The sequence below is a fragment of the Homo sapiens genome, chromosome 15 (genome assembly GCF_000001405.40).
Source record: "Homo sapiens chromosome 15, GRCh38.p14 Primary Assembly".
NCBI lineage: Eukaryota > Metazoa > Chordata > Mammalia > Primates > Hominidae > Homo > Homo sapiens.
The window spans coordinates 100192045-100217713 of record NC_000015.10 but is presented as its reverse complement, the minus strand read 5'-3'; the positions used below and the strand labels follow the sequence as shown (position 1 = coordinate 100217713).

The window sequence follows — 25669 nt, the reverse complement described above, 5'->3', positions numbered from 1 at the left end:
AAATTTCAACTTTGATGTAGTCATTTTTTATCACTTGTACTTTTGGTATCATACCTATGAAATCATTGCCTAACCCAGGATCACAAATATTTACTTTTTTGTTTTGTTTGTTTTTGAGAAGAGTCTTGCTCTGACGCCCCAGGCTGGAGTGCAATGGCATGATCTCGGCTCACTGCAGCCTCCGCCTCCCGGATTCAAGCGATTCTCCTGCCTCAGCCTCCCGAGTAGCTGGGAATATAGGCACCCACCACCACGCCCACCTAATTTTTTGTATTTTTAGTAGAGACAGGGTTTTCCCGTGTTGGCCAGGCTGGTCTTGAACTCCTGGACCTCAGGTGGTCCGCCTGCCTTGTCCTCCCAAACTGCTTCTAAGAGTTTTATATTTTCAGTCTTACGTTTAGGTCTGTGATCCCCTCTGAGTTAATTTTTGTGTATGATGCGAAGTAGGGGTCTAAATTCATTTTCTTGCATATGGATATCCAGTTGTCCTAGTACCACTAATTGAAAAGACTGTTCCTTGCCTGCCTTGTCCGAGATGACATTTTGGTGGGAAACACAGGTATTTTATATTGTGGAACATGAAGTCTCCTGTTTATTTTTCCTATCAGAAAGATGTTGCTGAAACACAAACCCATGTCTCATGTCCCTGTTGTCTAGTTATAAATTTAATATCAACTCTTCCTCTTCAAAACAGCATTTTCAGCTTCAGGAAACTAATTTTATTATTTTTAGACTTGTGTTTGATTAAATACATGGGAAGTCTAGAGCAGGAAGGCACCCTGACCTCACAAAACAGAAGAACATGTGATGTTTCCAAGAAGTGCATTCAATGTGTGTTTCGAATCTAATCTTAGTAAAATATTGTTACTTAATTATTATGAATTCACCTATCTCAAAATCTGAAAAAGTTTTGTGAAGAGTTCTCTTTCCCCTTGATGAGCAGGGGTGAATTGTTAGGTGGGCCTGGAACGTCAGGACCTAACCAAGGTGGGCGCCATAGGCCTCTGGATAAAGCATCCCGGTAGCTTGGTAGACAGCAGACTGTGTCAGGATAGGTGTCAGCATCGGGAAAAAGGGTTCCGTGAGCTTGTCTTTAAAGGCAGTCAGCGCAAAATCCAGGTCAGGCAAGGAGAGCAAAGGTAAGGAGGCACAGTGCGGTTCCAGACGTTGTAATACGCTGGTATCTTGTCGTGGCCAACCTTGTCCTGGCCCCCAGCGCAGATAAAGAGAGTGGCCTCTGATGCCGGTGAAGGTGGTGTTTTCCCAGTCCCCAGCTCTTTGCTGTTCTTCAGCTTTCCAAATGTCATGTTGATAAAAGCATTTAGAGGTTCACAGCCTCTACGCTGGCAACTAAACTGCCGATCATTGTGAAATTGTCCTGTGCCTTTTGGCACAGAGTTTTGGCTTGAGAAATACTTTCTGTTAAACTTTAAGAAAAAATTTGGACTTGGTCAAACTAATTGCAGTGTTAGATAATATTTGTTCAGGGTTTACTCTGAACATTGCTTCTTCTCTCATTATTCATTTAATCCTCAATTCCACGAGGTAGGTGTTCATCTCATCTTACAAAAGGGGGCACAAGGCTTGGGGAGATGAAACAATTGCCATAGTCACCCAGGTGGGAAGTGGCAGAGGGAGACTCAAATGCAGACCCCAGTCCAGAGCCTGCCCTTCTCACCCCGCTCAGACTCTGCTGGCACAAAGAGAAATCTCCCTGTGGCTTACATTCCCAAGAATGGCCAAGGGAGCTGAGGATATGTTAGGAACAGGGACTCCCGAGTCAGCTCTGCTCTTGTAAGCACAGTCTTGGTTCTCCTGGGGAGAGTCAGCGACACCTAAACTCTGAGTTTGAGTTATTCATCCTCAGGCAAATGGTGTCTTGGAGGTCGCTGGCCATCCTGCCAGCAGCAGGATGTTTTGATACTTGTGTCTTCGAGCGGGAGAAGGGAAATACACTAGCAGCTCCCTTTGCAGAGGCCCATTTGCCCTTACCTACAGAGCAGCCCAGGGGCCTTGTGCATCATCCTTACACCTGGGGAGGGACCAAGAAGGGCACTCCAGGGTCTGCTGACTGAGTCACTTAGGCCAGGCCAGCCCTAGACTTCCCTGACTATCAGCCAGAAGGCCAACTTGTTACCCAAGGGCAGCAGTGACCAGGGCAGGTATCTTAGGGGCTGTCAACTTCTCTGTTGGCCATGCAAAGACTCCACGTGGAGTTGTCTATAGTGCACAAGCTCAGATAATGAAGGAGAATCGGTCATACTGAAATCAAGGCTAGCAGTGAGGTTCCTTCTGCCATGACAATGGGACAGTTACAAGGCTGGAGCTATCAGAAGAACGCCAGACATTCGGGCCCTAATCCATCTGGTAGATGTTCCAGACGAGATCCAGACATGAAATCTAACAAAGAGTCCAGGAAAATCGTCAGCTCATCTCACAAGCAGCTGATCTTCCACATCAACATCTTGCTTCACTTTGGGAAGTTTGCTTCACCAACTTCTGGTTTAATTGCTGGCCTCGCCAGTCTGTCTGATTTAGTATTGCTACTGCGTTCCAAACGCAGGCATGAGGGCTGCCTCTGGCTGTAGCCGGAACCTGCCAGGCACAGTGCAGGGGTCAGGAAACAGCAGTCCACATTCTTGGGTTGTTATGTTTTTGGATGGGAGATTCTGTATTGAGAGGGTTGGAATTAGTCTTTATTTCATGATACCAAATGGAGGTGTAAAAGATCTATGGGACAATAGAGCAGAATGGGCAGTTGTTTCCTCCTAAAAGAGAGTTGTCTCTGCAGGGCAGTAATGAACTTGTCACGGGACAGTGCAACAGCAAAGCTTTACTCTTTCATGGTGTCGTTGTGCTCATAGTGATAATCGAGGACCGTCTCAGGAAGTGTGCCGTGTCGCTTGTGCGTATTTGGAATTGGGATGACTAGCTAAGGAACTAATACAGATACCATTAAGAAATGATTTCAGCCTCCTGCGTGGATGGTGGGCCGAGCAAGTGAACCTAGAACATTCTGTGATTTCCAGTGCCCGGAAGAATAGAGCATGGCCAGGTCAGCAGTACCATTAAGAAGTGGCCAATAAAAGTGCGTATGCAATCCCATGCTCCTCCAGAAGATAGTCTTGAAGGATGGATCCCATTTTATTCCTTTAAAAAATTTATTTTGCCTTTTCAAGTTTTTTATTATTATACTTTTTTAATTAAAAAAACATAATTACCACAATTACATAATTACTACAAATTACAAAGGACTACAGCAAGACTAGAATAATGAATGAATCACTTCAGCCTGGAAAGCAGATACTCCCAATAATATTAATGTTATAATACAAGCTCATTCAAGTATTTTACATTTCTTTTGTCCCTTTTTTTGGCCTTTTAAATATGATATCTTAGCACATAGCAAAGATAATGTGCGATGAGCATAAGGTAGAACCTTCTTCACAAAGCCAGATGACAAGTTTTCCTCTCCAGTGAGAAATGGGTTCTAAGTTCCTATCTTCCCTGTCGACATGGCTGAAGGGGGAGACGGTGGGGTTGGGGAAAATCCAGGGACTCTTCCACATGGGAGCTACTCCGGGGTTCCATTCAGGAGGGCGCCAGATAACTGAGATAACTCTATCCAGGCTTTTTTGGCAAAACAAACAAACAAAAAACAAAAACAACCCTCACTCTCCGTAACTAGTCATCTTTCTTGCCCCTCCTCACTTTCAGGGCCTTCTCAGCAGCTTGCTTTCTTTTGTAAATTCATCAGAAAGGAGAAAAAAAGAGCTACCATGGAACAAAACAAAAACATTTAATAACTTTGACATAGGGGCTCAGCACCTCTATCTGACCCTCAGGGGTCCCGGCTGGGACGGGGCCAGATGGCCCTTCTCTACTGGTAGTGCGTGTGCTCCCAGGTGCAGGAGAGGGCAAAGGAGAAACCTGCCCCTTGACAGGGCTGAGGCACACAGACCTTCTGATGTTTGATACTCAAAGGTTATGTTGGCATGGATCAGCCTTGGAAGGGATAGGATGAATAGAAGGATCTAGGCAGGCTTTTGCTTTGCGTCTCAGGTCTTGGATCCCATTTTAAAATGATTCTCCTGCCTTGTCTTCAAGTTTTGTTTGGTGAGTTGTTTATGTTAGACCGAGAGAGAGTGATTTAGGAAAATAACACAGCTCTTTTCTGTTCCCATGCTGACGGGCACTGGCATGGGATGTTCCCGGGGTGTGTGTGGTGTGTGTGCTGTGGACGGGGAGGAAGCCGTAAATGCTTCTTTGGTCTTAGACCCTGACAGAGTGGATGTTGACATCGATTTTCTGAGCAATCATGGTGATTTGTCAGTATCCATCAAATGGAGAACACCATCAACAAATGGCTTTTATATCATGTTTTTCCTCTTATCAACCCAAAACAAATCCAGTTTTTAGAAATACTAATTTTCAGAAAACAGAGAGAGCTTGTTACATTTGTAAGCATATACTCTGCTGTGCCAAGTCCATCTCCATGGATGTTCAATTCATGTTCAATTCAGTTAAACATACCAAGATACAATAAAGGCCCTGCAGTTGGGACCAGGGAACAGGTATTGGCCTTGTCCAAACAGAATAGAGTGGTATATATAAAATTTGTATTTTATATATACACACTCAAGATTATACCTTTGTAAATCATATATATGTTAAACTACGGATATGTGCATATCCCTCAGCTGTTTTTCTTCTTTTTTTATATTATTTACAATTACAGGCTAATTTAAATTGGATGCTTAACTCAGGGTGCTTTCTAAATTAAATGCGTGCACCTGATTGACAAAAAGGTACGCGTCACCCTATGCATTACCTTGGCTGATTCCCACTCCACTCCACCCCACCCCCGCCCCAGGCATAATAAAGAGTCAATTTGGCTGCTCTTTTACAAGTGACATTGTTGGTGAATAATGTGAGACCTTTCCTCATGTTTTCTATGTGTCGGTTAGTTGAGATCTGGCAACGAAAAGCACATTCTACAAAGCATTTTTGGTTATCACCTTCTGAGGAATGCTTGGGTAACCCCTAAGGGCTGGAGGATAATTTTCCCAGGATCTTTTGGTCTGACTTGGCTCATCAGAGAGGGTTTTTTTTTTCCTAGGGAATGTCTTTGATTACATTCTGGGATTCCTGTGTTTAGTGTTTTTAACCTTTCTGAGGTTATGGATCCCTTTGGAAATTAGATGAAAGCTATAAAGCTTCTTGCAAGAAATACACACATGCATATTAGCTTTTGCAGTCTCAAGGGTTAAAGACATCTGTACGTGAGCCTTGTTAGTTTGTGTTTTAAAAGGAAACTCCCTGGACTTTGAATCGTAGTTGGCAGGCTTCTCCTGTCTTCCCTGGAATGCGTTATGCACGGGCCTGACTGTGAGTCTGTCTCCCAGGCTTGCTGTACATTCCCTGGGGGCAGAGTCCTCTCTACCTTTGCTGCGGTTACAGGGGATCTGCAGCCAGACTGGCTGGGTTCAGTGAATTCTCCTACTTGGTTGCAGCATGAGCCTGGGGGATTTGCTTACCCTCTTGGTGCCTCAGTTTCCCCATGTGTGAATGAGGATGATAATAGTATCCCTTCGTGGGGTGGTGGTACGTGCACATGCATGTGTACATATGTGTGCATACACATAAGAGGCTACCGAGATTCCTGTCAGCAGGGACAGGTGGGTGGGCACAACAGCATGGAAATGCAGCCTGGATGGTGACCTGCCACTTCCCAGGATATAACCACTTCCTGACTTCTACACACCTTTCAGCCTTTCTCAGTGGGTCAAATTACTTCCTAAAATGGCCAATATACCAATTTATATTCTCTTTAATAACATCTGGGAGTCTTTAATTGTGATAACCTTGCCGGTTATTGTCAGAATTTTTTGTTTTGTCAACATGCTGGGTGTGAATTGATATCTTCTTGTGATTTTATTTCTCATTTCTCTGGTGACAAGGTAGGTTGTATATCTTTTTAAATCTTTGGTTTTAGGAATTGAAAATGTCTTCATTATGTCTTTTCTTCGTCTTTACCTTTGTTTATGGTACCTTTTATGACATAGAAGTTTTCAGTATGGATTTAGCTAGATAGCCCAATCTTTTTTATGATCTTTGCTTCCTGTTTCTTGTTTTAAAAATTCTTTGCTACTCTAGGAACATAAAGACCTCCACTACATTTTCCTCTGACAGATTCGAAGTTGTTTCCATTCTTGTGTATTTCATCCATTTTGAGTTTGTTTCTGTGTCTGGCATGAGGTTGAGAGTTTAATTCATTCATCTCCCTGTGGACACCTGTGGTCCCAGTGCCATTTATTGAACAGTCTATCATTTTCCAGTTATTCAATATTTTTAAAAGTCAGGCAATTTGCATTTTATGTAAGCTCTTCTAACTTTTTTTTTTTTTTTTTTTTTTGAGATGAAGTTGTCTTGCTCTATTGCCCGGGCTGGAGTGAAGTGGCACAGTCTCAACTCACTGCAACCTCCACCTCCCAGGTGCAACCGTTTCTTCAGCTTCCCAAGTAGCTGGGATTACAGGCACAGGCCACCATGCCCTGCTAATTTTTGTATTTTTATTTATTTATTTATTTATTTATTTATTTATTTATTTATTTGAGACTGAGTCTCGCTCTATCACCCAGGCTGGAGTGCAGTGGCGCAATCTCGGCTCACTGCAAGCTCCACCTCCCAGATTCACGCCATTCTCCTGCCTCAGCCCCCGAGTAGCTGGGACTACAGGTGCCTGCCACCACGCCCAGCTAATTTTTTGTATTTTTAGTAGAGTCGAGGTTTCACCATGTTAGCCAGGATGGTCTCGATCTCCTGACCTCGTGATCCGCCCATCTCTGCTGCCCAAAGTGCTGGGATTACAGGCGTGAGCCACCGCGCCCGGCCAATTTTTGTATTTTTAGTAGAGACGGGGTTTCAGCCATGCTGGCTGGGCTGGCCTCAAACTCCTGACCTCAAGTGATCCACCCACCTTGGCCTCCCATGGTGCTGGGATTACAGGCGTGAGCCACTGCGCCTGACTAGCTCTTCTAATTTTCAATTGTTGGTGACTGATTAGAATTTTCATTTCAATCCTAAATGGGCCAAATAAAACATTCCTGCAGTTGAAATCCTTCTGTGGCTGCCAGCTTGCGGTCTCTGATGTAGTGCTTTAGGACAGGACCTGTGGCCCTGAAGACCTGAGATTGAATCCCAGCTCCACCCCTCATTTGCTGTTTGACCTCGGATGAGTTGTTGACTTCTCAGAGTCTTAATTTCCTCATCAGTAGTACTGCAAGGATAATAACAATATGTACCTCACCAAGTGGTGGTGTGGATAAAATGAGATCCCGCATGGGACTCTTTAGTGCAGGACCTGGTACACACATAGTAAGTGTCTGACAAATGTTAGTGTTGATCAGCAGCCGCTGCCTCATTACTTACCCCTCCCTGTTCCAGCTCACTTCTTTTTTTTTTTTTTTTTTTTTTTTTTTTTGAGATGGAGTCTCGCTTTGTCTCCCAGGCTGGAGTGCAGTGGCACGATCTCGGCTCACTGCAAGCTCCTCCTCCCAGGTTCACGCCATTCTCCTGCCTCAGCCTCCTGAGTGGCTGGGACAACAGGCGCCCACTATGCCCGGCTAATTTTTTGTACTTTTAGTAGAGACGGGGTTTCACCGTGTTAGCCAGGATGGTCTTGATCTCCTGACCTCATGATCTGCCCGCGGACCACCACAGAGGCATAGAGGCAACCTGGAAATGTATGAAATTGCTTGAAAGGTGAAGAACATTTGTTTTTCTTGACCTTTGACATTTTAAAGACAGACATTGACATGCATGCTATTTCCATAGTCTGGGATGATTCTGAAACCCATTGTAACCCACTGGTAATGAGCTGCCTCCATAAGCATGGAACAGGGACATACCTTCACCCTGAAGATGGGACCTGAGACTTGGTACCATCCACTTTCTGCCACGCTGGCGATGATTCTGAGGCTGGCCATCTTCCTTGTCTGCCACTGATTCTGCCACGAGTCACCTGTTTCCTCTTTGTAATCTTAGTGCCCACTTGACTTCGTGGTGTGGCTCTCATCAACATTCTTTTCTAAGAGGCTTTTTTTTTTTTTAATAAAATGTAATGCCGTCATTTTTATATCCTGTCAGCAAAGGCGGAGATTGTCCTAGGGCTTCCCCTGGGCCATCAGAAGGGAGGGCTTGTCATGGTAGTTTGACTTTAGTTCATGACTGTTGAGTCAACACCCAAATGATGGCTGGCTTCCCATGTTTGGGTTACTTCTTTAGTGGAGGGGCCGTGATGCCCTGCCAGGGAGTGATTTATGGACTTGAACTCAGGAGCTGGCGTTCAGGAGCTGGTGCCCAGAGCTGCTCTGAGGCCTGGGCTGACCTTTGTGCGCAGCCCAAGAGCAGGGCCCCGAGAGGTGTCTAGAACAACGTGTAGATTGAAAGAGCTTACCCTTGTCCCGAGGTTTCACTAAAAGTCCACATTTCATCCCCCAAAGAATGGGCTTTGCTGGGCTAAGCATTTAGCAAGAAATGCGGTTACTTGTTTTGAGAATCCTTTTCTTTCTTTCTTCCTTTTTTTTTTTTTTTTTTTTGCTAACTTGGCAAATATTTCCATGCATGGCCTTGCATTGTATTCATCCTTTAGAAATACGGCTATAAGAGGGAGTGAAGCTGTTTTTCAAGGTTGTTTCAGGCAAGTCTCAAGAACGTACCATTGGAAGAGCCCTTGGAAGGCAGTAAAGGTAAATTAGAAATGGCTCATATGGTCCGAGAAATACGAGTGATACAGGTAAAGCCTGGTGTTGCAGGTGAAAGCAGACTTTGACTAATACACATCACTATAGCTTCATCAACTCATGACCCTTGGATATACCAAAGACATACCCTTATCTAAATTGTCCAGTGACCTTGACTCTTCCCAGATTCTTAAACCAAGGCCTCTTCTCCTTCTATTTCACATGCATGTGTGTATCCCTTTGTTATCTTTTAAATTATAATTGAGGCATAATTTACATATAGATAGTGTATCTAAGTGTACTATTCAGTGAATATTTGTAAACTCATGAGCTTTGTGTAATGATGAATGATGACCTGGATCTAGAAACAAGACAATATCAGCCCCCGGGCAGGGCCTCTTCATGCCCCTTCTGGTCACTAGTCCCTCTGGGGTAACACTGACCTGACTTTTTGATCTCTAAATGAATTATTATAAGGCAAACATCCTTGTGACCAGCATCCTGGTCAAACAGTAGAGTCTATCAGCCCTGCAGGTGGGCCCCGTCCCAGCCACAGCCCCTTCCCTCTGCACAGGTACCCACTTCCTTGGCTTTTGTAGTGATGAGCACCTTCTGTCTTCTGGCCTTATGCATTTGTGATTTTTGAATGAGTCAAGGTAAAAAGAACAAGCAGCACATGTTTCTGGCTTGCTGCATTTGGTTCTGCACACCCGGAATGCCTGTTGCCGCTCGGTTTTCATTGAGATTCGCTAAGCAGAACCAGCAGCAGTGCTCCCTTTTTGTGAGCCTACTGTGTGCTAGGGGAGGCTCCTGGGTTCCTGACAGACCTGGAAGAGCCTACTGTGTACCAGGTGAGGCTTGCAACAGACCTGGAAGCTTCCAGAGCTCTCTGGCCCATCCCACCTTCCCCTGGAGTTCTTTGGGATTCCCTGGGGACTTGAAGAGATGATTTTAGCCTCCGATTCTTCAGAGCTAGCAGTATATTACTTTTATAAGAGTCTTTTAAAACTGACTCCTCCCTCCAAGGCTGTGTTTGAGTGTTTTTAGAACATCTCCTAGGGCCTGGGGATTTCCAGGGAGTCTCCTGCAAATAGAAATGGCCAATGACGTGAGTGATGGGTCCACGTTTGGCATGTTGTCATGATTCTCTCACCTCCCTCCCTGGTGCCTTAGTTTCTCCTGATGGACATCCCTGGCTGTAACTTGCAAGGTGTACCCCATTGTCAAACGACTGAGGGATGGCACTTCTCTGCCTACAGATGCAGCTGGCTAAGGTGTTGTATGATTTGAAATACAGAACACCCCCACTCCACCATATTTTTTATTCTTCTCTACCAAGCGTTTTTGTAACTAGTTCAACCTGATGCTCCTACAACTTTCCAGATCAGTTCCTTGTTATTAAACCATGTCGTGAACATCAAGGCCAAGCCCATGGCGCATTAGGTGGCTGCAGTGCTGTGTGGCAAATGAGCATGGTGAGTTCCGGTGGCCGCCATGCTCGTGGGTTAGCCATGTTTGAGCAAGGGGACCCAGGGTGCACTCTGGGTGTATTAGCTTGTTTAGAGCTCCTCTTATAGAATACTGCAGACTGGGAGGCTTACACAGCACACAGTTATTCCTTATGGGTCTGGAAGCTGGAACTCCGCAGTGCCAGTAGGACTGGTTTGGGATAAGGAATCTCTTTCCTGGCTTGTCGACAGCTGCCTTCTCACTGTGTCCTCACCTGCCCTCTTGTGCTCACTTGGAGAGAGGGAAAGAGGGAGGGAGGGAGAAATACCTCTAGTGTCTCTTCTTCTTTTTATAAGGACCCAGACCTGTTGGATCAGGGCCCCACCTTGCTGACCTCATTTAACCTTCATCACCTCCCTGAAGGCCCTGTCTCCAAATACAGTGACATTGGAGATTAGGGCTTCAACCTCTGAATTTCAGGGGGACACAGTTTAGCCCATAACAGTGAGCATGATTAAAATGCACGTATTTGCTCTTACCAGCCCCTACTCTGCCTTCTTCCTGGCTCCGGCTGTCATCACAGTTGAGCAGCCTCCGCTCGTGGCCCTGCCTGTGGCTGCTCTAATAACTGTGATTCAAACAGAAATGCTGAGAAAGATCAGGATTCTAGGCACACACCTCAGACAGCTGCCTTGGGAAGGCTGAGTCAGGAATGTGCCCCTCCTTCCAGGTCGCATTTGAATCTCTGAAGGGAGATTCGATCCATTCCCAGATTCCCTTTGGGGATATCTGACCCCATGGAAGACTTAGTTGTCCCGTTCCCCACATGGAGGAGATTATTTTTAGCCAAAACATACCACACTTCTTCTCAGCCTCACCCCCACCTAAAACCCCAGCTTTCCCCAGGGAGAGGGAGGGCATTCTAACCCACCAGCAAAGGGGAGACATTTCCAGTGAGAGAAGATAGAGGAGGCTGAAAGCTGTCACTGAAGTGGGACTAAGGCAAGTTCATTTTAAAATTATTGACCGAAATAGGCGCCAAGCAGTGCAGTCGATAGAGAATGTGAGTGTGTTACAGTTTTCAAAATTCACCAGGGTCCATTGCTGTAGGAGTGAGTGTGGGCATCACCCTCATGCTGCCAGTAAGGGGAGGGGTGTCCTGGGCATGCCCATGTCTACAGACGTACACTCAAGTGCACACACAGGAGCCTGCACACAGGTGACGGTGCAGTGCTGCTGAGGTGCAGCCATCCGGCAGGCTGGTCAGGGCATGGTGTTTCCTGAATGCCAAATGCTAGAAGACAGGGCTTTTCTCTGGTAGCCAGGGAGTACATGCAGAGGCCCAGAGGTCTCCTGAAAGGGAACTCCAAGGCACTCATCACCTGCTGCATTCACGGTGCCGCCCGCCGTTGCTCCCCACACAGGGAGCCACCCATGGTCTGGGAAAGTTTGCCGAGAGAGCGGTCAGAATGAGGGTGTGGCTCACTGAGGGGCCCTCAGCTGTGACAGGTGACCCAGAGGGAGGAGCAGGGATCAGTGGGTGCGTGGCTCAGTGTGGAGCTTCCTCTCCAGTCTCCACTTGTTTGCCCTCTGGAGGGGCCAGACCTGGGCTCGGTCCCTGGCACAGCTGTCTTTCAGAGACCGCGGCGCCCACCCTTCAGGCCCTGAGGCTTGGCTTGGAACATCCCTGCTCACCTTTCTACCGCCTTTGTCTCTTTGCTGAAATGGCCTGGAGGCTGCTTCCCCTAGGCGTGTGCCTGCTCAGCTTAGACTCTGCCCGGCGCAAGGCCTGTGTCACATACAGGCAGTCAGGAAACACTTGACAAAGTGTTTGTCAAAATAAGAGATTTTCAAGGCTCCTCTGATGTCCTGAGGTGAACCTGCCTGGGACCATTTCTGGTGGGCATCAGGGCCTGTTTCAGAAGCCCCTGAGCCTCTCTGGGGTTCTCCGAAGAGAGGCACACTGTGATTTGACAAACGTTACATTGCTCCCTGGAGAACCCCTCCCACGTGATGGGTCCTGCTGACACGAGCATCATCTTCTCTGGCAGGTGGGTAATCTGCACGATATCTCCATGCACTTGGCTCAAGTTGGCTGTGGCCTTTTGAACATCACCACTTATTCGTTTCTCTTTCCTTCCCCTCTCCCGGCATGTTTTGGTTTCTAGCAGCAAACTGTTGGCATAAACTTGTGGCTTCTAACTTGTAAATCCCAGGGCCAATTTATTCCTCCACTTACCCTTAACTCACAGAACACATGAAAATGTTATCTTGTAGGAGTGACTGCTCCAGCCCAGGGACCCTCGAGTCATCTGTGGGGACTCGTGTGATTCTCTTACCAGAGACAGCATCTCCTCCTGAAGTCCAGGATCCTGGAGGTACCTGGGAAACCGAAGCCAAGGACATCTGTGTCCTAAGCTGTGGTCTCATTAACCCTAGGGAGCAAGGCCAAGAATATGTAGCCTTTCCTGACTCTGACCCATAACTGAGAACCCCATCATGAAGCAACAGCTCACATGGCGTTACAACACACAAACCAACAAACTGAATTAGCCTGCAAGGCCATAACTGCTGTATGACTCCCGGTCCACAGAAAACCATAATTGCCAAGGGGAAAGTCTGGAAGGCTTCCTTAGAGAATGTGCCAGCACATTCATTGCTTGGGCTGGCAGTGGAAATGAAGGTGACTCCTTACCTCACTCCCAGCCCCTTCCGCCTCAGCTACTCTTCTGTTGTAAGAGGTTAGGATTTTCCCACCCCTACTTGTGCTTTTGATGTTATAGCTAAGAAGGCTTTGTCTACACCAAGGTCAGGAAGATTTCCATCTTAGTTTTCTTCTAAGACTTTTATAGTTTTAGCACTCACATTTATCTCTTCAATTCATTTTGACTTATATTTTAAATGTGGTGTGAGGTAGGGGTCCAACTTTTTTATTCCTTTGTAGTTAGTTTTCCTTTGTCACATCCTAGCCTCTAAGACATTTGCTCCTAAATGCTGTTCAGCCATTCAGATCACACCCACATCCACTTAGGTTTGCAAGAACACAAGGACTTGTCAATGAGCCTGAATCTGCAATCCAATATCCATGACTATGGTTGGTGTATGGCAGATGCCACATGCTCTCTTGTGACTGACAGCTTGATGTCCCAGAAATAACTATGACGGTGTTTGGTAGTTGAGCAGTTGGTGGGAAAAACTGAGCCATCTCTCTCAAAGGCAGACCCTGTAAGGTTGGACTAATGGGCAGCAAGGCCACCAGCTGCAGATGGCTTATATGCAACAACTTACTGCATCAACCAGAGTTTATACAGTTGTTTGTTGTTTATTCCTTAAGTCTAGAGAGAGTCGAGTGGTCAGCCCCTAGATAAAGAGTTATGAGCTTCTATCATGTAGTTTTCTACTGAAAAAGAACTAATTAAGTCTCTTCACCCAATTTTGTCTACAAAATTATGCTTCTACTGAGAAAAGGAAAGGAAAGAAGACAAATGAGCACCTGTGTTGTGCTGGCATGGATGGGAAGATGGGTCACAGAGCTAGTGGATGGGAGCCTCTTCTCTCGATAAATTAAATGAGCTTCTCCAGGTGTCAGAAGAATTCATTACACCCCTTCTTTTTTTTTTTTTGAGACAGAGTCTTGGTCTGTCACCCAGGCTGCAGTGCAGTGATGGATCTCAGCTCACTGCAACCTCTACCTCCCGCGTTCAAGTGATTCTCCTGCTTCAGCCTCCAGAGTAGCTGGGACCATAGGGACCTGCCACCATGCCTGGCTAATTTGGGTGTTTTTTTGTTTTGTTTTTGTTTTGTTTTGTTTTGTTTGAGAAAGAGTCTTGCTCTGTCTCTCAGGCTGGAGTGCAGTGGCGCGATCTCGGCTCACTGCAAGCTCCACCTCCCAGGTTCATGCCATTCTCCTGCCTCAGTCTCCCAAGTAGCTGGGACTACAGGCACCTGCCACCACACCCGGCTAATTTTTTGTATTTTTAGTAGAGATGGGGTTTCACCATGTTAGCCAGGATGGTCTCGATCTCCTGACCTCATGATCCGCCTGCTCGGTCTCCCAAAGTGCTGGGATTACAGGCGTGGGCCACCACACCCAACCAATTTTGTATTTTTAGTAGAGACAGGGTTTCACCATGTTGGCCAGGCTGGTCTTGAACTCCTGACCTCAGGCGATCCTCCCAGCTCAGCCTCCCAAAGTGCTGGGATTACAGGCATGAGCCACCGCACCTGGCCCACACCCCTTCATTTTTACCCTCTGTGTTTCAGATTTTTTCAAGAGTGTGTTTGTTGTCAGGGGTATAGTAGAGTTGGAGTGAGCCACCATTTAGGACACAAGCACACGCTTGTTGTCAGGGGTGTAGTGGAGCCTCTGTTTCCCCATCTATAAAATGGGACCAGTCATGCCTGCCAAGCAAGGGAGGGTCGAGTGTTCAGAGCAGTCAAGCCCATTAGAGGCACGACTAATAAATTCCAGTTGCCTTTCTGCCTCCGTTTTGTTACGAGAAACTATGCAAACATGTGGAATTGATGTTTTTAAAAATTTTTAAATAAGTTCTGTGATCTGTGGAGAATTTTAAATCATAGAAGGCTGGATGTGAAAGCACCACTGCAGGGTCTAAAAGCCTCTCCCCAGCATAAGGCAATTCCAGTTAACTCAGAAGGTTCCACAGTGTCAGCACTGAAATTAGCAGAGCTTTGTCACAGACCTCAGTTTTTAATAAATCAATACAGAGAAAACTGGTTTTTCCTCATTTCTTGACAAGCACCAGCATATGGGGATTTGGCGGGTTTTCCCAGCTTGGTGCCTTCTGCAGCCTGAGACGGTGGGGGTATCTCTGAGTCTCCAGGGCTCTGTCTTCCCTAGACTGCAGTTTCTTTTTAGAAACATGGAATAGTGGTGGGCTTTGTTTTCTGCGAAGCTGGATGGCTTAATTACTGTTTACTCCCCCCACAGCTCTTATTTTACAACAACCTGGGATTTTCTCCAGACTTTGTTTTGTGCATTCTAAGCATTTCCACCTCATCTCTCATAAACACACAGGTCTTGTGCTCTGTTATCAGGAGCTGTTTCTTTTATGTGTTTTTCCTTGCTCAGTTTTATGACCAGGCTGGTCACGACTGGAATAAATCATTAAAAGCACTCGACCTTGATCCACCTTTGTGCAAGAGCATTTCTTGTAAATAAACTGATTCTTTGTTTTCTAGTTAAAAAAAAATCATCTGCACCTTGGAAAAATTAAAATGCAATTATTGGAAGGCTCCTTGCTTCACTGTTCCACTAGCATTGCACGTTACCTAATTAGAGTGGAAAGTCAGGGCTGCCTTCTCCGAGTGCTGAGTGTGGCTGAGGCCAGGGGGGATGTGTTTGTGTGGCATTTGAGGTCTGCCGGTTCTGCATCAGAGCCCGTGGTGGGCACACTCAGGACAGGAAGCTCAGCACATCTGGCCTTATTATGTCTCCCTTCCCCCTCACCAGGCAACTTCTCCAGGGCGTGCAGATCTGATTGTTTCTAATTGATTCATTGACCCAGAGGGGCTGCAGCCAGGGCTGGGCGGGCACTGCTGGGTGTGTGTCTGAGCGTGTGCGTGCACCCACGTGGGCCGCGTGCACATACCATCAGGGCTGTGTAGCAGTATTCCATCTACTCACTGGTAGACTTGTAAAAGCAACCCACAAAACATTTTTAAACAAAACCCAGAATAATGACCTTGAAGGCACCGAGAAACCACATCACATCCTTTCTGGTTGTCGTGTTGTTTTTTTTAATAGTCTGCATTGCTGGGTTGTGACATCCACGTGGCCACAAAACCATCTTGAGGCAAAATAACATTTAATTTGTTCTTTATTTATTTTTAACTAAGCACATTGCATGTTTCCAAATAAAAATAGACCCACAATGAGGTACCTGGGCCCAGTGTGTGAAACATGAGCCCTGGAGCCGCACCTCTGCGGAGCCAGGCCATGTGAGCTTCCTCTGCGCCTTTTGGAGCGGATGAGGAAGGAGGATGTATTAGTCTGTTTTCATGCTGCTATAAAGATACTACCTGAGACTGGGTAGTTTATAAAGGAAAGAGGTTTAATTGACTCTCAGTTCTGCATGGCTGGGGAGGCCTCAGGAAACTTATAATCATGGCTGAAGGGGAAAGGGAAGCAGACACCTTCTTCACAGTGCAGCAGGAGAGAGGGGGGAGGGGAAGAACTACCAAACACTCCTAAAACCATCAGCTCTCATGAGAACTAACTCACTGTCCCAAGAACGGCGTGGGGGAAACTGTTCCCATGATCCAATCACTTCCCACCCGGTCCCTCCCTGACACATGGGGATTACAATTTGAGATGAGATTTGGGTGGGGACACAGAGCCACACCACATCAGAGGGACCACCCTGTGTATGGCTGAACTCTGCACCAGTTTGATTTGGACATCAGCAAAGAGGATGTTGGTTTAGCTCTTTGGGGGCAGGAAGGAGGGGTCATTTTTAATGAAATGGTTCCCCTGTCCCATTCTCTCCTGCCCTCTGCCAACTCCTTCCCTCCTGAGACACCTCAGGCAAGTTCATGGAAGGAGCCCTTGGAAAGGAGCAATGTGCAGCTCGACAGAGGGACAGCCATGGGGGAGAGCAGGTGCAGCTCGACAGAGGGACAGCCCATGGAGAGCAGGTGCAGTTCGACAGAGGGACAGCCCATGGGGGAGAGCAGGTGCAGCTCGACAGAGGGACAGCCCATGGGGGAGAGCAAGTGCTCCTTCCTGGTGGCCACAGCCCATCCAGGGCATGGAGTTGACGGGCAGAGTCCAGCTGTATTTAGCCGTCATCCGCCCCATGGCGCTATGCCAGCAGAGCCACTGCCCACCAACCCCCAATGTGACTGCACAGCCAGGGGAGCACTGAGCTCCTATAGCCACCCCATGCCACCATCCGCTTGCGTGTCACACAGGGGCATATCGAGGAACTGCCTTCGGGGTTAAACGCCCACGGGAGGGCGGATGTCAGGTTTCCTAGCGAGCCCTGTTGAGATAAGCCCTGTGGTCCCTGCGGGGCGAGACATGTCTTTCCTGGGTGCGGGGAGTACTGTGGTGGGGAGCCCTGGAGAGTCAGCCCCCAGAAGTGCGGCCGGCATGGGCTCGCCCTCCCCACCCCTGCTGTGGCTGCCCTCCCAGCATTCCCCAGAGGGGCCGGCACCCAAGGGCTCCATGTCATCCTATGCGTCCCTCTGCCAAAGCCACATTCTTCCCCTGGAAAACACCTGCCCCTCCTGCAGTGGCTGGCCTGCCGTCCCACCAACACCACCCATCCTTGGGATGCGGCCTCCACTGCCCTGCATTGCGTTTCTCCTGGTGTGTGTGGTTCAGGTTTCCTGTGTTAGGGTGAGATCCTTAGGTGCGAGCATGTGTGTGTGGAGACACACGTTTGGCTTGTGGGCTGGTGCTCACTGAGGACTTCAAGACCCTGGCTCTCCCAGCGCTGGCTCCGCTTCCTCTGGGTCTTCCTCTCTCAAGGGCTCCTGAAGCATTTTTCAGAACATTCTGTGCAGCCTTCCGGGGCGTGCTGTCCACGAGACCCAGCACAGACCCCGGCTCACGCCCGGGATGCGCATTGTGAGGAGGCGCTCCCTCTCAGGGTGTGCGGGTGCAGGGGCATCGCCTGAGGGGAGTCAGGGCCTCTTAAACCTTGCACCCTCGGTGTCTTACCTGGCTGGCTCACCTGGTCCCAGCCCTAGGCGCTGAAGTTAGACAGATCTGGCGTAGGATCGCAGCATGGAGTGCCCATCCAGGTGACCTTGGGAGAGTTACCTTTCCTTTCCAAACCTCAGTTTCCCTCATCCTGGGTCACGGGGATTAAGTTAGGTGCTATGGGTACTCTACTCAGCACACCCCCGACGCGTATTAGATGCCTGATGGATGCTTGCGGTGGTTATTGTTTTATTGGGTGAACACAAAAGCATCATACACAAACCCTTCCCAGGTGGGCTGAGGCTCATAGTCACCATTGTTGCCGTGTGCCTGCCTTGATTGTGCATGACGTTGACCGTGCGGACTTGCCCGGTGAGACCAGGGCCTCCCACGTTCTGAAGAGGATGTGTTTTGTGTCTCTGCTGCAGGAATTGCTTACTTAGGAGGTGTGTGCAGTGCTAAGAGGAAGTGTGTGCTTGCCGAAGACAATGGTCTCAATTTGGCCTTTACCATCGCCCATGAGCTGGGCCACAAGTAAGTATCAGACTCTGTGTCGTCCTGTTTTCTTTCAGTCCTTTTTGAGTGCAGATTTTTCACTTGAATTCTGTAAGTTCTAAAACAGTGCTGCTCTATGCCTTTGCTGCATCTGCAATAAAGGACCCAGGTCAGTACACTAGGGTCCAAACCCTCAGAGACCCCACGAGATGACTGCACCGATTGGCTTGGAGAGTTGAAATGTTAATTTGATGTGCACATCTATTCTTAAAGCCAACAGACTAGAAAGAAGAGGTTCCTCTCAGGATGTCCTTATTTAATTGTACTTCCTTTCCGGGACGAGCATGATCTTTGATTCACTCTAAGTCTATTATTCACATAATGGGATGCATCTTTATACTGTTGACTTTCCATGTCTTTTTCTGCCAATTCTAAAGTCCAACTTTCTGATTGTAGAATTTAGTGTCTTAGTTTTGAAGAATTAACAGCTGTGGATGAGAGTCTTTGCACACAGCGATTCTTCTCTTTAGGATGAAATAACCATAGAACCTTAGAGCTTGCCTTAAGGAGAGTCCGAGGCAACCTCCTGGTTGTTCAGATGAGGAAACAGAGCGTCAGAGGGGTTGTTGAGTGGCTGGCCCCAGGTTGTGACCATCTGTAGGAAGCCTCAAGCGGCAGAAAGCCAGACGACGCTCAAACTGTGGCCTGAGGGTTGTTCTTTTTCCTAGAGTAGGTGTCTGTTTTATGTTTCTCTGAAGGAAAGATTGTGATATGACTGCTTAAGAGCTTAAAAGAAAATTAAATTGAGGAGGCCAGAGCATGCCAAACAGTGGAAAGGTTTATATTGGATTGAATAGAACATAAGTAAATGGAAATCTAGTTCTTGGGGGAAAAATTATTGTAAAGGTTTCCTAATGACCTACACAGTAAGATGCCTGGAATCTCAAGTGTTAACTCTAGTTTTTACGAGAGTAAAGTCAGTGTTTAAGAAGGAGTATAAAAGCAATTGTTTTTCTCAAGCATTTGCCATATCTGTGGCTTTACTTTTTGTTTGTTTGTTTTTTTATGAGTGATGCCTTTTAATGAGTTTATATTCTATTAATTCACTTTTTAAAATGCTGGTCCATATCCACTGAATTGATTTTATGACCTTTTTGTTTTGTTTTTGCTGTTTTTTGTTTTTAATTCTACTCTAAGTTCTGGGATACATGTGCAGAATGTGCAGGTTTGTTACATAGGTATATACGTGCCATGGTGGTTTGCTGCACCCATCAACCTGTCGCCTACATTAGGTATTTCTCCTAATGCTGTCCTTCCCCTAGTCCTCCATCCCCTAACAGGCCCTGGTGTGTGGTATTCCCTCCCTGTGTCCATGTGTTCTCATTGTTCAACTCCCACTTATGAGTGAGAACATGCGGTGTTTGGTTTTCTGTTCCTGGGTTAGTTTGCTGAGGATGATGGTTTCCAGCTTCATCCATGTCCCTGCAAAGGACATGAACTCATCCATTTTTATGGCTGCATGTTTTTGTTGTTGTTTTGGTTTATCTAGCGCCATTTTAATTTCTTCCATTCCTGTAGAGGGGTTTGGTAGTTGGCCTTTCCGTACCTATTGTATGTCATGATGTGAGTAGGTACAGAGAGTGGAAATGATGTTATGTGCAATTCCTGGGGTAGGGAGGAAATCCCATGATACTGACCCAGGACCTGGTGAAGCAAGATGAGAAGTTGTCTCTGAGTGCACAGTTATCTCATCTCAACACTATTTTTAAAAATACTGGCGACAATTCTTTGCACAGAACTGTTTTTTAAATGAAGTTCAATTGCATTTGTATTAATACCTCTGAGTTCTTAAAATCCTGTATCCAAGAGTGATTTGCTGGGGAAAAAAAGCATAAATCAGAATGGGTTTGGCAAACATCTTCCCACCATCAAGGGACCCAACCAGCATGCCGTAGTACCTAAGAATCAATTACCTAATGATTATGAGAATGCAGGATGTCAGAGTACTTACCAACACCCGAGTTGCTATGGGCCTTTGAATAGTCAATTTAAATAAGGTGGGTTGAGCTATAGTTACATGAACTGCAATGTCCCACGCCAGCATCCAGCAGCATGGCACATGCTAAGTGCCATTTGCACATACGTGTGGGCGCACACATGCCGCATGGAGGTCTTTTCTCATCAGACATTAAAAATACAGAGGGCCATTTTCTCCCTGATGACCTGTTCGAGTGTGCCGGATCAAACACTGGCCTCCCTGCAGCGGAGGTCTGCAAAGATGAATGGTTAGATTCAAACACACTTTAGTACCCTTTAGCTATAGACTGTGTAGAATTTCTTGGAGGACTCTTTATAGCTTGCTATTGAACTCCAATTACCGACAAAAACAAACACCTTATTGTTAATCAAAGCCAATAAATCTTGCTAGCATTTGGCCCTCCCCCTCTTTGGGTAATTACAGGTTTCCCAGGGAAGTCTTTGATTAGTCGCAAGTGTTGGGAAGCAGATCCCTGAGGATGAAGCTATGTCCTCCCCGTCAGCAGGCCCCTCTGGTTGCTGGGCTGTGGTTGCAGGCTATATGGGCTGCTGGAAAAGGCCAAGACCAACCTGCACTCTCAGCAAAGCCACCGGCCAGGCTGTTTCACAGACACGAAACCGGAAAGCTGATCCCTATTTTGGAATACAGTGGAGCCATTTAACTCCATATTCCTTAGCTTATGTGAAGAAAGTCTCCAGGTGGCTCACCCACCGGTCCCTTACCATGGAATGCTGACAAAGTGAAACATTTCTGGAGGGAAGGTATGTGCGTGTGTGCCTTTGCACACAGCACGCAAAGGTGTGGCTCTCCTGTTCGTTACCTAATGTGCGTCGTAGGGCGATTGGTGTAAGCAGCTACCCTAAAATCTGATTGTCAGGAAAAAAATTCCACTTCTGTGTGAGCTGTACGTTCCACTTATCAAACAATGAGTTGCACAGATTCACATGATTTTGTTGCTGCATTGGCTGTCAGAAAACACAAAGCTAGATTTAGGGCTTATTTTCAGCAATTAACTCATCTACATCCTGGAATTATACTTTCCTCCCTCTTCTCTTTCTAGTGTCTCTTTGTATGCATGGCTTTATTTTAAATCAAACATAATTTATTTGGTACAATAAACTGGCTCTAATCCAATTTGCAGTCAAATAGGTCCTAAGTTGTAATTAAACTTAAAGTTCTTGCCATGGTAATGTCAATACTGCTGCTTCAGCCATGAATTAATAACATACTAGTGATGTTTAACTCAGGTCAGAGCTCTTGTTTATTGAACACCTACTATGTGCAGGGTACTGTGTGAGATGCTGTGTGTTTATCACGCCATTGAGTCAGTCCTATGAGGTAGGCATTATATAGGTTTTACTTTACAGGTTAGGAAACTAGTATTGCTTTTTTAAAAATTTATAGTTACTACTTAATATGATTTGGGATCACTTATATGATTATACATGCTGCAATAGGCCCATTAAAATAAGGATACAAATTACATGAAATAAATAATAAGAGAACTTGTAGAGTCAAAAACCAAGGTACTTTCAGTTTAAGGGAAGTAAATGTCCATGTGTATAGCTGCTGCTGGCTGACCAAGGACAATGACCGTATCATGGAGAGGGGTTCCCTAGGACACTCGAGTACTGTGGGTGAGATTGACAGATTTTTTTTTTTGAGATGAGATTGACAGCTTCTTTTTTTTTTTTTTTTTTTTTTTGAGACCAAACAATGGGCCAGTCATTTAATTAATGTAAGTCTGAGACTATTAGGATGAAAGTGATGCCGGTGAAAATGTGAAAATGTGAAAATGATCAATAGTTCTGTGGTCTTACGGAAACATGGAACAGGCTCCATTTACATATTAATACATAAATGAATCTGAGATTTTAAAAGCTTCTTGCCCGGGGCCTTCTCACAGATCCTGCCTCTCCTATATCATCATTAACTCCCGTGTAACCACTGAGCTGAAGCTGTGGATTCATTCGATTAACAGCTTTCTGATTCTGTGCCCTGACAAAGGAGCAGGCTGCAGAAGACTTCCCAGCCCTGCTGCGGACACGAGCTGGGGGATGGCAAGTCCTGGTGCAGGTGCTGTGTGAGAAGCTGCAGAGGGGCCACCCTTGCTGCTGCCTGGAGGCAGAGTCAGCTGCTGAGCAGCGGTCACGCTAACAACAGCCTGGAGGCTCCTAAATGTACACCCGTGCCCTTGGTTGTCTTCTTGCCCGTGAAAGGCTATTCTGATGGGCAGCCATGTGCTACCTTTGGGTTCAGCTAGTAATTAGAAATGTTGGCAGCGTTGAGTGTGAGGAAGGCAGCTGTGTCCCTTTCCATAGCGGTAGCTTGAGAAATGCACCGTAAAGTGAGTGTTTTTAGCCGGGGTCTCCTTTTGCCTTTCTCCATCCTGCGGTGGCCGTTAGAAAGCAGCAGCCCCTGCACATGGGAAGATGGCTACAACAGGCATCTTTTACCCGCTGATCCTTGCTAAGACAGGAACCATGGAATGGGGGGCAGTTCCTTGAGAGAAACTGCCCAGCTGGGATGACACGCCCCAGGGTTTTCTCCTTCAAGAAACCAGGACAGCGTGCCTTGTCCTGGATGTCAGCATCCAACATGCCGATCACAATTTGGTTTTAAAGAGAAAGAGGAAAATCCAGAAGTAAGCATTTGTTTCTCTCAGATAGGCCCCTGCTTTTCAGGCTCAACTCTGGTTGGTCCTAGGAAGGACTGACCCCTGATGATGAGTAGAAGCTCAGCTCTATGCTGACTGCCCGTGAGAAAAAGCAAAAATAAAACCCAGATCAAGGAGGCAGTTGGCAGTAACTTTAGTGTGACTTTAAGGTGGGTGTAATGCAGCTGTTTGGATTGTAGCATCTATTGTTGGCTGTGATTTGGAAGCTCCGGTATAAAAGAAAGTGCATAGCTCTGTGAAGGCTGCTGAGTGCCTTGTGTTTCGAGGGAAGTGTGTCTGGTATGCTGCAGCTAGGTCCAGGGGAGGTGCCTGGTAGGAGGAGCTGGTCCTAGTGCAGCTGCTGGCAGGAGGGCACAGAACCAAGTGTCCACTAGTCGTTCTGGGCCTAGGGAAACCCAGGACCCTGTGCCCACCTGTGTCTCAATCAGGTAAGGCAGCAAACTCCTGGGAGATGTCTAGAGACAGGACCTTCTAGGTGGGGTGACAGTGGAAGGGAGGGAGTCTGCTTTGTGAACTATCCGCCACCCACTCAGAAAAACGAAGAGGATATATCTTTATACAGAGAAATAAAAAGGTTTCTCATTGCAGAAAATAAACCTCTGCCTTTGTTGGAGTGAGGAGTGTCTGTTAGATAAGCCTGAGCCAGACCAGGGTTCAAGAAATGCCTGGCCCTGGGAGCCGGCCCAAACCACGGGAGGTCTCCAGCCCAAGTGGCACCAGCGCCACGCACGTGCTCAGCCTCCTGCAGCCTCTCCTCGGGAAGGAGCTTCTCCAGACCTGCCCCTCCTCGGGTTTCCCCTGCCGTCCCTGCACCCTTGCTTCGGTCAAAAAACCATTCTCTTTCCATTCTGGAGTTGACCTCTCCTGTAGTGGGGAGGCTCAGCCCGTGGCCTCTGGAAAACACTGTCTTGACACAAGCTGGGAGCTTGGCGTAGATGGTGCCTGGCAGTGACGCGCAGCAGGAGCACTGGGCGTTTAGAAATGCAGTGGCCCAGCGTCACCCACTGTTGACCGATGCGCTCACTCTCGGGGAGGAAGCTCAGGAAAGCTCTCCAGGAGATTCCGCACATCCCAGGTGGAGAACCGCGGAAGACGCAACATTGGAGGTGTCTCGTTGTTGCTCTTTCTGGCCTTGCCCACATTCCTGCCACCATCTCTTTCCGCCATGCCTCCAAGGCCCCAGTGCTGGGGAGCCAACACTGGGTCTCCCCCAGTGCTGAGCCCGGCTGTGCTGAAAATAACCCACCCACTTCACCTCTCTCTCGGTCACCCTGAGTTCCATGCACCTCACCACTTCTGAGTGAGCGCTCAGGACCCAGCTATTCTGAATGTTGCTAGCATAGACAGGCTTAGTCCTCTCTCTACTCCGTCAGCTCCCGGGAGACCTCAAGGAGGACATGGCGCAAAGCGTAAAGTGACCTGTGGTGGAGCCACTGGAATAATGGGCCGGGCAGAAGCCTGGACCCAGAAGAGGCAGGAGAGCGAGCAGCAGAGGGACAGGTGGAGCCCTGCAAGGCCAGAGGGCAGGTGGGGCTGCCACCAGGTGCAGGTGAAGCTCAGTCTTCTCTAATTTTCATTACATTGGATGCTTCCAGCCAGATGTGATGCTGTGCCAAGGTGAGTTTGGGACAGTGGACGTCGGGAAGGATGCCACATTGACTAGGCACGTGCTTGCCTGGCCTGCAGCTCAGAACGTGAAGGAATCTGATCCCTGCAAAGTGTGGCCCATGGGCAGTGGGTGGACACATGTCTGGGGGAGTGATGGGGAGGAGGGAAGGTTGGGGGAGAGCCATGTGGGGGAAATGTTCCCATAACTGGAGTTGACATGGTTCAAATGAAAAGAAATTGTCTCAGTCCCAGAACAGGAAGGAAAGCAAGCCATTATCCAGATGTGTGAAGCATGGAAATGCTTGTCTGTGATTTGTATTAAGAACGAGCCAGCCGGCACAGTGCTGTGGGGACACGGAATGGACCCAGGACAGATCTAGGCAAGCAGGCAACCCACCAGCAGACAGTCATGGGTGGTGGCTGCTCTTGCCTCAAATGTTTGGCCTGAGTGCTCCACCTAGTAGGCACAGCACAGACATCAGATGGGCCGGCATTGAAAGGAAGGTATGCAGAGAGAGAATTTCTGAGAATGTCATAACTGTTTAGAAATCCTGGAGGGAGAGGGAGCATTCTTTTGTTCTAGCTGGGATTAGGGCAGTTGTGTTCACATAGGGGTTGGCCTTCCTGGAGGAACAGAAAAGGGGGTGCCTCCCCCCAGGAAGGGATGGAGCCTTGGACAGGCTCCAGACAGGTTTCCCAGCAGGTTCCTGCCTGGGCCTCATCCCCAGTTCCTGCTTAGCAATCATGGCCTCAGGCAGTCTTCCCTTCTCTACTGAAGGGTAATTGGTTGGTGGTGCTTGAAGCATTGAAGGGTTCTCACGTTTCCCTCAGCGGAGCTTGGAGTGATTCCTGAATACGTTTCCTCTGCACTTGGCCCCTGCATCAAAGTCCGTGTGTGAGCGTCCACTGGGCACGGCAGTCTTACCCAAATTCCAGAGTTGTTCAAAACGTGCAGGCCTTATTTCCTTTTATTTATGTATTTATATTTA

At 47.3% G+C, this 25669-nt stretch overlaps 1 protein-coding gene across 15 annotated transcripts in view, besides 4 other annotated features; it reads left to right on the top strand.

Annotated features, from left to right (window-relative positions):
- The window catches only part of ADAMTS17 (ADAM metallopeptidase with thrombospondin type 1 motif 17), a 370539-nt gene that overhangs the window by 124262 nt on the left and 220608 nt on the right, over window positions 1–25669 (top strand). For 14 of the 15 annotated variants that reach the window (XR_001751118.2, XR_001751120.2, XR_001751119.2 and 11 more), the window contains one exon: window positions 18291–18396. The exons of the other annotated variant lie outside the window; for it this stretch is intronic. Coding sequence is in view for 11 of the 14 variants with exons in the window: in NM_139057.4 (NP_620688.2) it covers window positions 18291–18396 (106 nt within the window). In the remaining 3 variants the exon portion in view is untranslated. The remainder of the gene's footprint in view (window positions 1–18290; window positions 18397–25669) is intronic. 15 annotated transcript variants of the gene reach the window in all.
- Window positions 10276–10570: an enhancer, noted in NCBI's record as "tiled region #9518; K562 Activating non-DNase unmatched - State 21:Repr". NCBI's record gives its function as "activates a minimal TATA promoter and a strong SV40 promoter by Sharpr-MPRA in K562 cells {active_cell/tissue: K562}" and the evidence as "EXISTENCE:reporter gene assay evidence [ECO:0000049][PMID:27701403]".
- Window positions 15223–15760: an enhancer, noted in NCBI's record as "H3K4me1 hESC enhancer chr15:100742159-100742696 (GRCh37/hg19 assembly coordinates)". NCBI's record gives its function as "activates a minimal SCP1, AML or CMV promoter by ChIP-STARR-seq in naive H9 embryonic stem cells {active_cell/tissue: H9 hESC(naive)}" and the evidence as "EXISTENCE:reporter gene assay evidence [ECO:0000049][PMID:30033119]".
- Window positions 16532–17297: an enhancer, noted in NCBI's record as "H3K4me1 hESC enhancer chr15:100740622-100741387 (GRCh37/hg19 assembly coordinates)". NCBI's record gives its function as "activates a minimal SCP1, AML or CMV promoter by ChIP-STARR-seq in naive H9 embryonic stem cells {active_cell/tissue: H9 hESC(naive)}" and the evidence as "EXISTENCE:reporter gene assay evidence [ECO:0000049][PMID:30033119]".
- Window positions 17298–18064: an enhancer, noted in NCBI's record as "H3K4me1 hESC enhancer chr15:100739855-100740621 (GRCh37/hg19 assembly coordinates)". NCBI's record gives its function as "activates a minimal SCP1, AML or CMV promoter by ChIP-STARR-seq in naive H9 embryonic stem cells {active_cell/tissue: H9 hESC(naive)}" and the evidence as "EXISTENCE:reporter gene assay evidence [ECO:0000049][PMID:30033119]".